We start from the raw sequence: 16,775 nt of genomic DNA on the forward strand, positions 1-16,775 counted from the left end.
GCTACACTTCCTCCTTTCTACACCCACTTTTGCAACAAACTCAAAAGAATTGTCTATATTCACTGATTACATTTCCTCCTGTTTTCTTTAAACCTTAGTAGTCAGCTGTCACCCTACCCCGGTCCATTGAAATTGTTCTTATCAAGCTCATCACTGACCTCCATGTTACTAGTCCAATGATCAATTCTCACTCCTCATCTTGCTCAACCTCTCAGCAGCCTTTGATGCAGCTGAAATAACTGACACTTCTTGAAATGTTTCCTTCACTTGACTCTCAGGAGTCTATACAATCCTGGTTTCCTGCTATCTCACAGGCCGCACAGTTGCTGTCTCCTTCCGCTGATTATAACCTGCTCTAATCCCCAGGGTTCCATTCTCTGCTCTCTTTTCCTTTGTAAATATGAATCTCTTCCTTGAACTTGAGATATATAGATAGATAAATTATAAATTGATAGGCAGATAGATATCATATTAATCAAACTTAATCAAAATTAAACTTCCTATCCTCTTTCCCAGACCCACGTTGCCACCACTGCCTTCCTCATATCAGTTAGTGGCAACGATATTCTTACCATTGCTAAGGTTCAAAACCTTGGTATCACCCTTGAGGAATCTTTCCCTTTCACTCTACATCTAATCTATTAGCAAATGTTGTCTCTTCCACCTTCATAATACATCCAAAATCCAGTCACTTCTCAACACCTCCATTGCTACAATCATCTGGTCCAGGCCACCATCATCTCTCTCCTGGACTTTTTCCTCCAAACTAGTCTCTTTAATCCCACCGTTGACTCTCTGCATTTATTCTCAAACAGTAACCAGGGCAATCTGCTAAAATGCAAATCAGATAATGTCACTCCTTCCCATCTTCATCAGAATAAAAGCCCACGTCTTTCCAAAAGCTCGTAAGAGCCTGTATAATCTGGGTCTCTGTTTCTTTCTCCATCTCATCCTAGTTCTCTCTGCCTTCTCACTCTGCTCTTTCCATAGTGACTTCTGGCTGACCTAGAACACACCAGGTATGTTCTACTTCAGATATGTGTCTGGCTGCTCTCTCATATCCCAAGATTTTTGCACAAATGTCACCTTCTCGATGAGGCTTTCCCTGATCATCCGGTTTAAAATTGCTTTTTGCCCCATGCCCCCTTTCCTTGCCTCATTGTCTCTGTAACACTTGCCACCATCTGATACGCTATGTAGTGTACCTTTCGTTTGCTGTCTAGAGTGTAAACTCCATGAGGCAGGGTCTTTTGTCTGCTTTGTTCACTGTTATACCCCTAAAACCTGGATCAGTGCCTGGCCTAAAATAGGAACTCAGTGAACATTTGCTGAATGAATGAATGAATGAATGAATGAATGAACTAGCAGTGATTGAAAAAGACTCAACAGCCTACTCAGTGCTTTAAAAATATGCCACTAATTACAGGCCCAGAAAGAAAATTAGCCGTAAGCATTTCTTTTCTGTTCCCATTAGAACCTCTAATGAGAGTGCACGGTTGTTATTATTTCAAAAGCAACAGCTTTCCAGTGTTTAACAATGTGCTAAATGCTTTTGCTGTTTGTTTCCATTCCTTTTTCCCTAATGGGTAAGGGGATTCGATGGCTGATTTCCCCACTCTAATCACCATGGGGAGGCTGGTTTTCCTCATGGCACTTGGCTTCTCCTCTCCTCAGATTCAGCCAGCACTTAGTCAGTTGATAAAATCTTTGAGCACCTACTGTGTACTGTGTGTAGGGTTCTCTCTTTGAATCATAAGTCTATTGCGCACCATGAAACATAAACCAAATGTTGGTGATGCAGTCCCAGTGATCTCACTCCGAGGAATTTTTGTAGCCAGCGTCCCCAGTGCTAAAGCATGCCCCATCTCTGCCAGAAGATCTTTGATGCCACAAGGGGCAATACAGTGCTTCCCAGACTCTTCTGCAGAACTCTGTATCAGTGTCAAAACATTCTAGGCCCTCCTTACATGAAAATGGTCACTTATCTAGTGATGGAGGCTACAGATGGTGCTTACTGTGCATTTGGATTCACAGACTGCTTACAATAACTGAAACTGTTGGTGTCCACAGGCCCTGAAACGCTGATGTCACTGGAAAGTGCATTGTTCTTAGAGTTCAAAGACCCAATTGCACTCTTGGTTCTGCCGCCTAACTGGCTGTGCCTCCTTAGGCAAGTTACTCCATCTTCAAAGGTAATTTTCCTGTCTGTAAAATGGAAATATGAAACCCACCTGTGCTAAGGTTGCTGTGAGGATCAACTGAGACTCGTGTGAAGGGGCTTATAAACATACACAAGGATGAAGTATTAGTGAACCCATTGTCTTCAGTCTCTCCTCTCAGCACTCACCTGCACAGTTGCTGCCATTGAATTACCCCTTTGGCCTACCTCTTTAGAAATACCAACTGAGGTTAGGTTGCAGTGGTTTTCTCCATCTAATTCTCTTTATTTTGCAAACTCATTAAACATATGCTGAGAATAAATTTACTATTAGGCTATGAATTTCTGCAGGGCAGTGACAGAGTCTCATCAGTTCTACTGCCCCAGAAGGGATCTGCGCTCAGCACAGGGCCCAGAGCCCACCTGCTTCAAAGGAGCCCCAGTGGCCTGGGGTCAAAGGGAATGCCCACCTGGCTGACTGAGAGCATCCCAAAGAGGGTCTGAGAGCGAGGTTTCCCCCTCAGGTCACAGACTAAGAGGAATTTTTCCTTTTGCTTCTCCAAGCAGGCTCACTTCCTCACTGAACACTTTTGCCAGCTGCTTTCAATCCTAATATTTTGGCAGCCAAACAGCATGCTGTTCTGCAAAGGAGCTGGGAAACTGCTAATGATCTGATATGAACAGCCTCCCAGCTCTCCCGGGCTCCTGCTCAGAGCCCAAGGTTGACAGTGGGACATGGGGCCTCTTAGCATGCTGCCTTTTGCTCCAACCAGAGAAGGCCCTGGGCCTCACGCTTTACAGCCCCACCCCCATAACACCAACTCTATGTGTGGAGGGAAACCTGGGCACCTCTGTCTCTCAGGATCTGCTGCTCAACTCTGGTACAGCATGACGCAGAACGTTAAACACGCTGTCTTGGAAATGACACCATTCCAGCCTCAGGACAATGCTTCTCCACATCTCTTATGTCCTTGAAACAAAGGTGACTGTGTCTGAAGAGTTGTGGGTTGTGGTGTTTCCAGTGTTGGAGATGGACATTATTTCAGAATGTGTGTCAGCTGGGGAAGGGGAGGTGACCGATCACCTCCCCTTTTTGGGTAAAAGAAAAGACAAATATGTTAACATGTTAAATTCTTCCTCTCACATAGCCAAGAATGCAATTGATTCTTGCAAAATTCAGTATACATCGCATGTCCATTTTCTTGCTTTTCTTCATGTTCCCATTTGTGATTCTGGAGTTACCCATAAACTAGTGTAGAATTCACAACAATTTCTGTAGCAGTTAAGGAACCTTTTGCAATATTAAACAGTTTATAAAACCCGTGTGTGTGTGTGTGTGTGTGTGTGTGTGTGTGTGTAGCCGGGGTTTCTCAACCTTAGCACTATTGACATTTTAGACTGGTTACTTCTTTGTTAAGGAACCTCTTGCAATATTAAACAGTTTATAAAACCCGTGTGTGTGTGTGTGTGTGTGTGTGTGTGTGTGTGTGTGTAGCCGGGGTTTCTCAACCTTAGCACTATTGACATTTTAGACTGGTTACTTTTTTGTTGTGGGGCTGACCTAGAATGTTTAGCAGCATCGCTCATCCCCATCCACTAGATACCAGAAGCAAGTTGTGTCAACCAAAGATGTACCCAGACGATGCTCCTGGGAAGCAAAACCACCCTTTGAGAACCACTAGACATAGACATGTTTATAGACATAAGTGCATGAAAAGTGATGCTGCTTCTTCACACTGGCAATGACAAGGATCTCACACACTAGAATTTTACTTAGTTTTATTTAAATAATTTTGATTAAAAATTTCACATCCATTAATCATAAAAGTTTTCACTCATTTTTAATAGGCACATTTTAATACAATCAAAGAAAATTCATTTTTTAAAACATGAAAAATGTACACTCATATAGTTTACCTTTAGTTTAATCTACACTTTATGATAAAAATATGTTAAAACTTTGGACATTTTGAATACAATCACATTTTTCTAAACTCCAGATCATTACCATCAATAGAACACATATGACATGAATATCTTGATTATATAACAATATAATTTATGATTTTGCTAAAATAAAAACATGAAAACTAAAATCTATGGATGAATATGTAATAGTTTCTGAATTATGTGTGTATTTATTTCATTACTCACCCCAACATCACTGGCCCATCAACCAAACACCAAGACACATGTAAGAATAATTTAATCCAGTCATCTTTGATATTTGGCTGAATTTCAGTCACGTAGAAACTGTAGTTTTGTACATACTGTATATTTTACTGAGGCATGTTTGTCAAAGTAGGAAGCTAGAATATATTTCATCAAATCATTTATTCTCTTGGTTTATGATTATCTTGCCAGGGGGCTGGCATGCATGAGGACCAGGTCTCATCCACTTGACCTGAGGCCTCAGACCAGGGCCTAAAATGGGACCGTGCAGTCACTGAGCCCAGGATGGGATGGGGGCAGGGGATAAAGGGAGGATGGGGCTGGTTGATCAACCGCAGGCCTGAGTTGCAGGCAGGCCCTGGCCAAAATGGTTAAATAGGTAAAGGTGATTATTCCCTTACTGGGGGCTTCCCTAGCCCACCTTAGATTCCAGGTTCCTCACACCCTACCCCAGTCAAGGCTCAGAATTAAATCCCAAAGTACAACCTGACCCATGTATCATTTATTCATTCAACAAGTATTTATGGATCTCTTCCTCTTCTCTAGGTACTAGGCTGGGCCATGGGATATAAAAGTTTCTGCTCTAAATACGCAGGTCATTTCAAGAGGGAGAAAAACCTTATCGATTCCCACTTATTCTATCTCTTTCCCTTTTTATAATTCTTTTATCCCTAAGCCATAATAAAGGGGAGAAATACATATTTAGGAACCATTGTATTTGTTAAGTTGCATCTTCACTTTTTCATAATCTTGCTTTCTGCTGTGCTAAGCAACAATTAAATTTAATTTAATGCCACAGGGATGAAATTATTGAGCTCCTGTTACCTGACAGACATGAACTGTCCTCAGGGAACCCAAAGATTCAGGAAAAAAAAATGGTGCCTGGGCTTAAGGATGTCACACACCAGTAGAAGCAGGCAGGTAAGTAAGAAACACTCTTATGCTGGGCTAGGGCTGCACAAAGGTTTGCATGAAGTGTAACAGCAGAGGAGGTGGGAAATGAACTTTTCCTGGGGGATTCAGGTGAAGCTTCACCAAGGGTGCTATTTGAGCTTAGTCGTGCAGGGTATGCAGAACCCCTCCAGGCAGAGGTGCAAAAGGACGAGCAGAGGAGGCAGCCCTGGCAAATGCACCCTTGGAAAGGACAAGCCACTAAAGCAGGGAACCAGCCCTTGGCACAGAGTAGGTGCTCCGTGGGTTCTGGTTTCCTTCTGCTGTATCCTGGCCGAGTGACAGTGCCTGGTTTGTTCATGACAGAGCTTAAATTATTCCTAGAGATGTAACACCCTAGCCCCCAAAGAGCAATTGTTTCTAAGATTTTCTGGCCCTCAGTGCTGGAGCTGTGCCTTTCAGCAACCTTCAGAACATTCAGAGGAGCAAGGACAAGAGCAGGAGGGGAGGCTGAGGACACCCTGGCTCATTAGTTAATGAGGGGCATTGATTGGCTACCTACCCTCTCAGGGTGGTTGTGGAAATCAGAAGAGATAAAGAATGTGTGTGTGTGTGTGTGTGTGTGTAATGCGGGAGAAGACATCAGAAAATATCACCCTTGTCTAGGAACTCATACAAGTTTGGGAGAAAAACTTACCTGTGAAATGCAGGAGAAGTGACTTAGGAACTTGGGAAGTCTGCAAGCAAAGCATCAGCAGATACACCAGATGGAGAGACTTCCACAGGATAGAGGATTGTGGAATGAGGGGAGGGACTCCCATGGGATGGGGTTAATCGGGGCGTGGCCTCCTAGAGAAAATACTTGGGGACTGGTCAGAGAGAAGACAGTGTTTCTGGTCAAGCAGTGCACCAGAGCAAGTGAATTGGCGAGGTGTGTGGGAAGGACAGCAAGCAGGTACAGTCAGGTGAGAGGGACACTGTGTGGAAGGGCAATGGGGGAAAAGGCTGGACAAATGAGAATTAGGGCAGTGAGGAGGCCAAAATGCTAGCTGGAGGAGACTTCCTTAGGAAGGCTGGGCTGGAGACCACTTAAGATCCACTCCAACCCTGAGACCTTCCTAGCAGACAGTCCCACTCTTTCAGGGGCCCAACTTTTCCCAGCATACGCCAATTCCCAGCTCCTGGGGTACATCCCAACTGGTTTAAACTAAGCTCAGTTATACCACTGCCTTTGGTTGAGTGTGGCTCTGTAATCAGGTCCCAGACAGCGAGCCATACAGGTGATATGTTTAAAGGTTCTGGGAAGAAATAGTCCATCTTTGTCCTGTGCAGGATGTTGATGTGTCTGGATGTGAGACCTGAAACCACTGCAGTGATCTAGCCTGAGGAGAAAACCAATTTAGACAGGAGTATTTATAATCTCACATAATAAGAAATCCTGGCCAGGCGTGGTGGCTTATGCCTGTAATCCCAGCACTTTGGGAGGCCAAGGCAGGCGGATCACCTGAGATCAAGAGTTTGAGACCAGCCTGGCCAACATGGTGAAACCCTGTCTCTACTAAAAATACAAAAATTAGCTGGGCAGAGCAGAGAGAATCACAGAAGACAGGAGCTGGCACCCTGCACTGGCAGCCTCCTCCTCCCTCAGGATTTCTGTTTTTTTTTTTTTTTCGGAGACAGGGTCTTGCTCTGTTGCCCAGGCTGAAGTGCAATGGCTGGATCTCAGCTCACTGAAACCTCCGCCTCCCAGGTTCAAACAATTCTCCTGCCTCAGCCTCCAGAGTAGCTGGGATTACAGGCACATGCCACCATACCCAGCTAATTTTTGTATTTTTAGTACAGACAGGGTTTCACCATGTTGGCCAGGCTGGTCTCAAACTCTTGATCTCAGGTGATCCACCCGCCCTGGCCTCCTAAAGTGCTGGGATTACAGGCATAAGCCACCACACCTGGCCAGGATTTCTTACCACATGAGATGATGAATACTCTTTATGCCATTTGAGGGTAGGTTTTCTTCTGCTTGCAGTCAAAAACATCATAATATCTATTTTTAATTATCCAGACCAACAGTAATGGGAAAGTTATAATTCTAGACAGAGGAACCCATCAAAGAAACATAATTCATGCAAGCAGTGACAGGCATTTCAGCATGATTAACACATGAAGTTCAGGATGCCATGTGGCTAGAGATGGGACCAGAGGTGCAGGCAGAGGCCAGGTCTCAGAGAGATTCGTACACTTTGTGGGGAACCTGGTCTTCGGAATATTTGGGATCCACTGATGAGAGGATTAAGTTGCCCTGAATAAAAAGTCAGCAACCCATAGGATTGCTGAGCAGGAAATAACTATGATAGTGTAACTGAGGCTCAGCAGAGCATAGAGATTCAAGAAAAGGGCTTTGGTGAGAGACCAAGGTTTAACCCACAGTTCAACCACCGATGAGCCATGTGCCTTGAATAAACTTCCCTCAATTTTATGGAAGACAAGTCCTGTTCCTCAGGGTGGTTGTGGAGCCTGTGAGCACTCCCTCTGATGGCCTGCGCAGCTCTGATTGTTCTATAAACACTCACTGACACTGCAAAGTGCTAGACGCTGTGCTGGGGTTGGGTGCAATGTCATAAAGGGCCATTTCTGCCATCAAGGCGAGCAAGGCCTCCAGGAAGGACAACTCACGAGAAGGTAAATGTCAACGTGATGTGCAAAGCGCTAAGTAGAGATAGACCCAGGTTGTCAAGAGTGGTTTTTTCCCCTAAAATGCAAAGAACAAAAAGTCCAATGATGGCAAAGGTTCAGTAAGTTGCTGACTCAGTTGGCAAGGGGAGCCGTTCCCTCTCTGCCTGTTCCCACAACTCACTGAACACCAATTCTTTCTTTAGCTTGAGACTTCCTCAGCTCTTCTGTGGGACCAGCTGGGGGAAGCCAGCACCCTCCTCCCACCCCACTCCACTGTTTCCTCCAAGGTCCCTCTATTGACACACCCATTAGGGTCACTTCTGAGGGACAGTTTTCCAGCCTGCCACTGGGGAAGGACTGGCATCTTTCCCAGGTCCTGTGGCCTCCTGTCCCCTGTAGCCCTGAACACAAATTTCAGGCCAGCTTTCCTAGAGAGCAACCTCACACTCTGCTAAGAGGTTCTCCAAGCCCATGCCTAACCAACCTGCATCTGAAACACAGCCTTTCTTGGATGGAAACAAGGCCAAGATGAATTCTCCTTCTCAGGACCAAAGCATAACCTCTGGAAAGGATTCTAGAGGCTTCTTGGAATCATCATTATCTTAGCACTCTTGCAGTCCCATGGCACCATACATCAGACAGTCTACAAGTCTGCCACACCAGCAGTCATTGAAATTGGCTCACGATTCTGATACTTCTGCATCAAAGCTGCCACAAGATTCAGTGGCCTCTTCAGGAATCCCAACAGTCCCTTTCCCCAGCATTCAAAGCCATTCCCCACCCTCACCTTGGAAAGCACAGGAGGGTGATGTTAAGCACTGAACCAACTTAAAAATTTTTTATTTTAGTATAGCATGCATACAGAAAAATGCATGCATCATAATCGCATGGCTCAATAAATTATCACAATATGACTCCCCATGTAACCACTGCCCAAGGTAAGGAATAGAACATTGCCAGCTATGCAAGAGCCCTCCTCATGCCCTTTCCTATCACCAACCCCACTCTTCCCATCAAAGGCAACTTCTAACATCACAGAAGTGTTTGAACCAGAGAAGCACTAAAGGTTTTAAGCAGAGAGGAAATATCATCATATTTGTCTTTTGGAAAGTACTTTCTGTCTAGGAAGAGAACAAGAGGCTGGGAGGCGAACTGGGAGACTGTTGCAGAGACTGTGATTGCTGGGACCAGAAAAGGGGCAGTGAAAGTGGAAGAAAGGAAGGAGGGATGGGAGGGGAGGGGAGCAGACGGGAGGAGAGGGGAGGGGAGAGGAGGGGAGGGGAGGGACAGGGATGGGAGCTGGGGGTCATAAGGCCAACTTTCTGCCAACTTGCCCACTCTCTTAGTGGTGCTTTACTGTGGTCTGCAGATTAATTAAATGACCTTAAAAGCCTCCTACCCCCAAGCCTGAAAGTCTTTTATTCAAACCAGTCATCTGGAAAGCAAGCCTCCCACTGGTGCTTAATTCACTCAAGAAAAGATTAGAAGAACCTGGTTACCAAGCTTCGAAAAGTTGCTCATAAAATTCAGCAGGAGCCTGAAATCCTCAGAGACTTCTATTTTTACCAAAAACACACACAGAGAAGTGGAGAATTTTCAAATGAATTAGACATGAGATTGATCTTTTTATACAAAAGGAGGGTGAAAAGGAACAGTGATGCTGTTTGAACTCCCCGACACCCCACACACACACACACCGCCCCGCATTTCCCTAAGCTGCCTTGACTTGATGGCATTGGTGAGACCTGAGCTCTGCCCTGACCCAGGCACAGACCATGGTTGGGGCCAGGGTTTTCTCAAGACCATGAACACAGTACACAACCCCCCAGACAGGGCCTGCTTCCACTCTAAGAGGAGCTGGCCAAAGTGGCTCCCCAGCCCCACCTGAATAAGAACACCATACACTGGGAATGACTGTTGGTGTTGAGGAGGCTTAAAACAAGGGCATGCTTTGGGAGAGTTGGGGGGATCTATCCTGGGCACCCGGCTGGTGAGGCAAAGCTCTGCAGTCAGCAATTATTTTCAACCCATCTTGTCCTGTAAGCATCAAGCTGTGGTCTTCCTCAACAGTGCTTTGTCAGCTAGCTAACACCCTTATCTTTAGCTGAGGTCAGTCAAGAACTCCTTTTTAAGTTTAATTTTTATTTTATTTTTTTAAGAGACAGGGCCTTGCTCTGTTGCCCAGGCTGGAGTGCAGTGGTGCAACCATGGCTCACTGAATCCTCAAACTCCTGGGCTCAAGTGATCCTCCTGCCTCAGCCTTCCAAGTAGCTGGGACTACAGGTGTGTACCACCACACCTGGCTAATTAAGGACTCCTGATTTCCTCTTGTGAGCTTTGCATAAATTAGATCTGTGATTGTTACCCAGTGCTCTGTAGACCCCCCAGGGGTTCCATATAGGTGTCTCAAGAGCCACAGAGAAGCCAGGACTCTGAGCCCCTACACATTTCAACTACAGAAGCTCCACTTCTAAACTGGCCTTGAGACAACACAGCAATCCTTTCATAAAGTTTTGTCAGGTAGGCTTACCCCTATCTTCTTGGCTATCACAGAGTAATTAAAATACTAATTTGTGTACAGTTGCCCTCTGGGAGAGTATAAACCTGAAAAAGGCTTTGTCCTTCAAAGGACTGGACAGGAATAACAAATTCAAATCTTAATGGGGCCATACAGGTAAGTCAGAGAGCAAACTGGGCTGCTGTAAGATGATAGGGTGTGGTAGGGTCTTTGACAAAACAGTGTGCATCCTCACCTGCAGCCAATTGCCACCAAGTGAAAATGCAGGCTTAAGGCTGCCAGACCTTCCGATGCTTCCAGAGAAGACAGATATCACATTTGTCTGTAAATATCCAGATTTCTAAGTCTACGCAATTAATTTAAATTTTTAAAAAACAAAAACATGTGTAGTCACTCGTGCACAGTATGTGAACCATGGACTTCTAGTTTAGGTCCACTGGGTGAATAAGCCAGGACGCTAGGGAAGAGAAGGGTTTTAAAGGCTTAGGACTTCAGTGTTGAAAAGGGGAAGGCCTGATCTAGGAGACATAGAAACTAGGAAGAGAGGAGGAGTTGCAGGTTTCAGAGTGATGAAGACCTGAACCAACACAAATGCAGCACCCATGGAGGCGGCATCTAGGAACAAGGGTCTGTGCAGACAGGGCACCAAGCATCAGAGCCTGGGGGATCTGGGGAAGGCCCCACAGCTGAGCGTGGCACTGGGGTGGTGGAGCTACCAGCAGAGCTGCCTGCCCTGGAACGGACCAGGAGGGCCAGGGCAAAGAGCAGAGTCCACACCAACCACCGTCAGGGACCAAGGCCCTCACCTGTTTCCTACGCCAAGCTTGTCTGATCCAAGCGAGGGGGAGAGAATCCCAGAAAACTAAGCACAGTCAATTTCCTCAAGCCACAATCAGTTTTGTTTAGAAAATGATGAAATGTGTCATTTCTTTCAACCTAAACGCCCTAGAACAGTGGTTCTTAAAGTTTAAGTTATGGATCTACAAGGGTCCTCAGGACCCTTTCAGGAGGCCCTAGAGGTCAAAACTATTTTCATAATAATACCAAGATGTTGTTTACCCCTTTCACTGTGTTGCCATTTGCACAGATGTGGAAAGCAGGGCTGGGGGAAACTGAGGTCTCCCACCACGACCTCAGCCACCACCCTGCACTCATCGTCACTGTGTCCGCCTCATATAATAAAACAGTGGCCAGTTTCACTTGAGAATGTTCTTAATGAAGTAGCAAGAATTACTGATGTTATTAATCATGACCTGGAGTCCACATAATTCTCTGTGACAACTGGAAAGTGAGCATGACGCAGTTCTGCTGCATGCCCAGGTGTGGCGGTTGTCTTGAAGAAAAGCTCTGTGGGAAGGGTTTGAGTTGTGAGCTGAAGAAGCACATTTGTTTTGTTTTGTTTTGTTTTGTTTTTTAAATAGGACAGTATTTTTATTTAAAGGCATCACTGATGGACAAAATGTGGTTATTCAGACTTACGTATTTGGCAGAATTTTTCTTTGAAATGAACAAAGAGAGCCCGTCATGTCAAAGAAACCAACTGACAGTATTTGTTGCCAATGATAGAATTTGAGCTTTCAAGCAAAAATTAACATTTTTTTTAAAACTTTGCATCTACTACTGTAAGTTTGACAGTTTCCCAGTACTTGAAGACTTTTCTGATGAGACTGGCAGTGAAATTAATGAATAGAATTTTTTTATGTTGTATAAAGAAACGCATCAATATTTGGATGATCTATAGAACTCATTCAACCAATATTTCCCAGATGACCAATGAATCATGTTACAAAATAATGCATGGATAAAAGATATTGCAAACATGTAAGATAGGCTAATGAATTTTAATATACTACAGAATGAAAAGTTCATTGATGTGATTTTAGATTTTACGTTGCAACTTATCTTAGAGTAACTACTTCTTGTGGGGTAGGTATGATAACAAAGAACATCCATAATTATCCGAGAAGGCTGTTAAAATACTTCTCTCTTCTCCTACTATACATGTATGGAGGCCAGATTTTCTTCATATACTTCAACAAAAACAACATATCCTAACAGATTGAATGTAATAAGCCAGACATTAAAGAGAGTTGTAAAAATGTAAAACAGTACCTACCACTCTTTTCACTTGATATTTTAGCTTTGGAAAATATAGTTATTTTTAAATAAAAAAATATTTATATGACTACCTAATGAGCTTATTTTTTCTTACAATAAATTGCTAAATACATATTTTTAAATCCTCAATTTCATTTTGAATACAGTAAATAACTGTGACATACATAAATAGCTTGGGGTACTCAATAATTTTTAAGAGTGTAAAAAAGACTCTGATACAGAACAAGTCATTCCTGTCATATTCTGCTTCTCTGGAGAGCTCAGAAAGATCAAAGCCATATAACAGGAAGAGTGAGGTGGGGGCTGAGTAGAGGTTACGATTTGCAATTAAAATTCACTTTCATGTAGATGACAGCATTTTATTCTCAACCCTTCTGTAAGGGGCCAGCAGAATCTTTCACAGATAAGGAACTGAGACTCAAGAAGTAAAATACCTGGCGCCAGAGCCAACTCCCAGGTAGGCCAGGCAGGATTTGAACCCAGGTCCTCTGACTTCAAACCCAGAGCTCTTTCTCCTCACATGCACATTATCTCTGCACCTGAAATGGGCCTTGGCCCCTAACTTTTCCTTTCTCATCTTTCTTCTGGTTTGGTCTCATGGGCAATGTGAGGCTATCTTAAAAGAGGAAGTAAAATTCTTTTCCTCCTTCAAAAGCTCTGTAATTGACCATAACAGCTTTACTCACAGCCACAGCCCTATATGTCATGTGGCCCATCTGTTCCCTGCCTGTGACTGAGGAACCAGAGTGGTCACTTGACTTAGAGGCAGGGTCATCCATAGAATGCTCTGGGCCAGTCGGCTTCTCTCTTCCAGGATTTTAAGTTGAGAGACACAGAGGGTATTGTCAATTTGATGGAGAATCTTGGAACTGAAAACTCAGGCTGACTTAGGGGCTGAAGTGGCTATTTGGGGACCATTTGAAAGACGATTAATCAGAGGAAACTGGGGGTGGGTGGAAAGAAAGAGAGAGAGAGAGCAAACAAAAATAAGTCGCTATTGGGAGACAGAAAAAGGGTCTAGGTCCCTGACTTTCCAGTCCTCAGTTCTAATGGCTGCAAAACCCAACTGTACCTCTTTTTCTCCAGAAGCCCTGAGGTGGCCATGATGTGTCTACAGTTATCCCTCCCACCCCATTGGCTTTCTAGTAGTGCACCTCTCAGCTCACTGTGACACTCAGGGTCTTGGGATTTCTCTAAGGCTCACATGTCCACTGGTGCTCGTGGCAATGCTGGAGGAGCATCTGTATGCTCTCTGGTTTGTAGTTGCATCAGTGACTAGAGCAGCAAAAGGGAGCCACACAATGGTCATTCTGTTGACACACAGTTCGTTTGCTTTGGGGCCTTTTAGAACGAGACCCTACCTGGTTTGGGAGGCCAAGGAGTGTTTTCTTCACATTTGATTACAAGATTTTTTCCCCTTTCCCTTAGAAACCATATTTTTTCCCTCATTCAAGTAAGATGCACTGTACTCAAATATGCCCTCAATTTTATGAAAATTACTTTAGATGGGATTTAGGATCAGAAGAATGGATTTCATTTCATAGGACTTATTAGTTGAAAAGAGGTTATCCCTGGCTCTGAACAGAAATCTGTTTCCTATATTTATCCAAGGCTTTAAAAGCCCCCCTCATGAGGTACCAAAAGCTAAGGAACTCTGGTTTTGGAAACTTGTTGGGCAGAAAGTCTAACATCATGGAATGACAGAAAGATAAGGCAGTGTGTCCTGTGTCCTCTTACCAAGTGCCAACTGTGCCCTGTTAAAGTCCTGACAGGCTCAAGTTGCTTTAATTGTCACCTTTCTCCTCCCACTTCTGGCCTACAAACTGCTCTGGCAAATCTTCATTGGAACAACACCCCTATAAACACGCACACGTGCATGCATGCACACACACGCACACACTTACCAGCACTGTGGCTCTTGCCCTCTTCTTTCTAAGCATTACAGTAATAATGACATGAAGTGTTTGCCTGAGCTGAGTTATAACAGAGTGACTATGGCTTGGCAAAGCTTCAGTGAAAAGGGCACTGTCATACCCAGCTGGCAGGAGTGCAAATTGATACAGACTTTCTGCAGGGCATCGGCAATATGTATCAAGAGCTTTAAATGGGCTTATACATCTGGCACAGTAATTTGTTTTTTTTAAGGGAATTTATCCAAAGGTAAATAGTAATGTTCCTTAAAGCAGGTTTGTATTAGCAAAAAATCAGAAGCAATCTAAAACATGTCTAACAGGAAGGAATTAATTAAAGAAAGTATCATACAATCTGATATATGTGGTCATTAACATCTTATCACCAAAGACTACCTAAGCACATGGAAAATTACTTATGATAAATTTGTAAAGTGAAAAAATTTGTATATAAAAATCAATTTATAAATTATCCAGCTGGGTGCAGTTGTTCATGTCTGTAATCCCAGCACCTCGCGAGGCCGAGGCTGGTGAATCACTTGAGCTCAGGAGTTTGACACCAGCCTGGGCAACATGGCGAAACTGTGTCTCTTCAAAATATACAAAAAAATAATAATAATAATAATTAGCCGGGCATGGTGGCGTGCACCTGTGGTCCCAGCTACTTGGGGGACTCAGGTGGGAGGATCGCTTGAGCCTGGGAGGCAGAGGTTGAAGGGAGCTGAGATCACACCACTGCACTACAGCCTGGGTGACAAAGCAAGACTCTGTCTCAAAAAAAAAAAAAAGAAAACCCATTAACCAAGTGCACAAAAATAGTACATATAAAATATAAATATATATATAATTTATACATAAAAATTTATATTTGTGGTATAGTTTTATATATCTATGCGTATATCTATGACTGAAAGTTAATAAAATAGAATTATAATAGTAAATGTAGATGTATGCGTGAATTTTATTTTCTTCATATTCTTACATATTTTTCCAAAAATTTTATGACTATATTCTACTTTTATAATTAGAAAATAATAATGTTAAAATAATTTTTTTAGAGGCAGGTTCTTGCTATGCTTCCCAGGCTGGAGTGCAGTAGCTATTCACAGGCATGATCTTAGTGGACTACAGCCTTGAACTTCTGGACTCAAGCAGTCCTTCCACCTCACCCTTCCCAGCAGCTGGGACTATAGGTGTGAGCCACCTAAAATAACTTCTAAATTAAAAAAAAACCCAAAATGCTTACACTGGGGTCATGTGACCCTTGGAAAGTAATGCTATCCCTCCGAGCCTCACTTTCCACCCCTGTAAATTACTAAGTAATGCCTATATTGCTTTTCTAGAGGGTGTTGTGCAGACTAAAGTCAATCAGATAAAATAAAAATATATTATTATTTATGACATTTTTTCAATATGATCTACTTAAAATGACAATCACCACAGCTAAAAGCCTTTTCTGGACTCCACATGGGAAGCAGGATAAAACCTCAGCTTTGTGCTCCAGCCCCAGACTCTGCCTGCCTCCCTTGCCTCATCTCCAGTTCTCTTTGACTCAAACCTTAAGCTTCAGCAACACCAGTGTAGACCTGTAGCCCCCTAAACACCATGCTGTTTCTCTCCTTACTTTCCATCTTCTGTCCTTCTGCCCGCACTGCCTTTCCCCACCTTGTTCACTGGGTTCCTAGGTTTTCTTCTGCATCATCTCAGGCACCCAGGAAGATTTCCCTGCCTCCTCCAAGATAGTTAATTCGCCCCATCTGAAAGCAACTGAAGCTCCCTGGTACCCCTCCACCACTGCACTTACAATGCTGCATTGGATATTCCACTTAGTGCATCTCCTCACTCAGCCACAAACAGCTGGAGGGCAGTGACCTTCTGTCTTTGGCTGTTAGGTCCCTGGTGACCAGCATGGGGCCCAGCCTTCGCAGGTACTTTGAAACAGGACACTAAAGCTTTGCAGTTTCGGATAAAGAAACGTGCAACTACCAATAAAACTACTCCCCACCCAGGGCCACTGCATAAGGTTTTATAGATTGTGCATTGCTCAAAGGCACCTGGCTGAGGAGGCAGGTAGGATCTGAAGTCCAACCCACACTTGGCTTGCCAAGCCACATGCCTTGGCCTGGGCTTGCATCAGCCCAGAGCAATGGGAGCCTTTTGCTTTGCAAAAAGGCTCCATTGACCCTCCGTGCTCAACTAGGGGTAGCCACAAGGCTGTACGCACCTATAGATGTATTAGGCTGTACCCACCTAATTCCTGCAGAGGTTCTGTGTGGGCTACCCAAAAGGCAGAAAACAGATGATTCACAGGGACCGTCATATCCTCACAGATCAA

General features: G+C 43.9%; 1 annotated feature.

Moving 5' to 3' along the window:
- Positions 12,949–13,038: an enhancer, noted in NCBI's record as "active region_1544". NCBI's record gives its function as "activates an Ori minimal core promoter by ATAC-STARR-seq in GM12878 lymphoblastoid cells {active_cell/tissue: GM12878}" and the evidence as "EXISTENCE:reporter gene assay evidence [ECO:0000049][PMID:35858748]".

Source organism: Homo sapiens, chromosome 1 (assembly GCF_000001405.40).
Source record: "Homo sapiens chromosome 1, GRCh38.p14 Primary Assembly".
NCBI classification, from domain to species: domain Eukaryota; kingdom Metazoa; phylum Chordata; class Mammalia; order Primates; family Hominidae; genus Homo; species Homo sapiens.